The following is a 1,634-nucleotide window of genomic DNA, read 5'->3' on the forward strand; positions in this document are numbered from 1 at the left end:
AAGATGGCAAGAGTCAGTTCTTAAAAGTACCATTAGTGTTTAAGACAAAACTTTTGCTTTGGCCCTTGCCAAATATCTAACTGTAGGTAATGAATTGAAAAAAAAAAATGCATAGCCTACAGTGTAGGCTATATTCTATTCTCCTAGGAATGCATATTCTCCTAGGCCTATTTCTGATGTGGCTGAATAGGATAAGGAACATTGCAGATTCTCTCAGAGGGTGGGACTAGAAAACAATGAATAATAAACAAGATGATAGCTCGTCCAGGAAGTGAAACCAAGACTTCCAAGTGAAACAAGGAGTAACAGGCTCTTTCAATATCTATCCAGCAGGATTTTATAACTGCTTTGGAACAGTCGACGATATATTAAATATGTTTACCATTTTTCAGTGTTATGAATGGAAATAATTATCGCAGACTTTTACTGTTCCAGTATTATATCATGGACATACATTGAAGTCTGACAGTTAAATTTTTTTTTACTTTTTTGAAAGATCATATTATGACCATACTACTGGATGCAGTGACTGGATGGAATCATAACTATGCTTTGACCCAAAAAATTTCTAAGGTAGGTAATGAACTGAAAAAGAGGTACAGACAACAGGAAGAACATATTCTCCTAAGCCTACTTTATATTTGACCAAGTAGGATAAGGAAAATGAAATAATCCCTCAGAAAGTTAAATAGCTTACATATCAAATATTTTTGATGAGTTAGAAAAAGGAAGAAAGAAGGAATTTGGTAATTAAAATAACCAATTGAAGCAGACATTAATACCCACTAAAGATTTCATTTGCCATTGCTTTTCTGCATTATCCAGAAACCTTCCTTTAATGTGAGGTCATGTGTTGCTCTGGCCAAAGGGCTGTGAAGAAAGATGGCGTATTCTTCACAGCCTAGTCAATGAAAATCTCATTAATAATTTTCTAATCTGTTCCCCCTGCTTCACTGACTGATTGAGAAAACCTTATATTTTAGTCAGGGAAGCAAGACAAGGGAGATTTTGTTAGCTTGTGTTCTTGAAGGCCTGTATGGAGCACAGCTCTTTAATGACCCATGCTAACTGACTATGCAGCATGAACAAAATATGAAAAGAAGTTTTTTGTTTTGTTCTGTTTCTAAACCATAGTAAAATTGGGGTCATTTGTTACTTCGGTCACTTCTGATTCTACAGGGAATAATTTGAGCATTCCGGCAACTATAAAATGGCTTTCTTTTATTCTTTCTCGGACACCAATTAAGTTTTAAATTGTTCCACCATTCCTGAAAGAGATCCCAATCAAATGGTATGCAATCTCTGGTAAACTTCAGTCGAAATCACACAACTTACTTCTGTACCATAAAAAAAAAACAGACAACTTATCTAAATTATACATTGGTTTATCACACTTTGAACTATCAAAAATTTTTAAAGGCTATTAGATGCTGAGAGAATTAAAGACAATTGCCACCTTAAGCTAAAAAATTGCTTATGAAAGTTTCTCTTTTGGTGATAGGCTAATACTTTGCCTGATTTCACAGTATGAATGGTGTCATGAGACTAATCAAATATATTCATATTTTTTTTCAGAAATTGCCTCAGTAGTTTTTTCCATAGCCCTCAAGAATTTTGATTTATTGGTGAGATGA

This window comes from Homo sapiens, chromosome 4 (genome assembly GCF_000001405.40).
Source record: "Homo sapiens chromosome 4, GRCh38.p14 Primary Assembly".
Classification (NCBI taxonomy): Eukaryota; Metazoa; Chordata; class Mammalia; order Primates; family Hominidae; genus Homo; species Homo sapiens.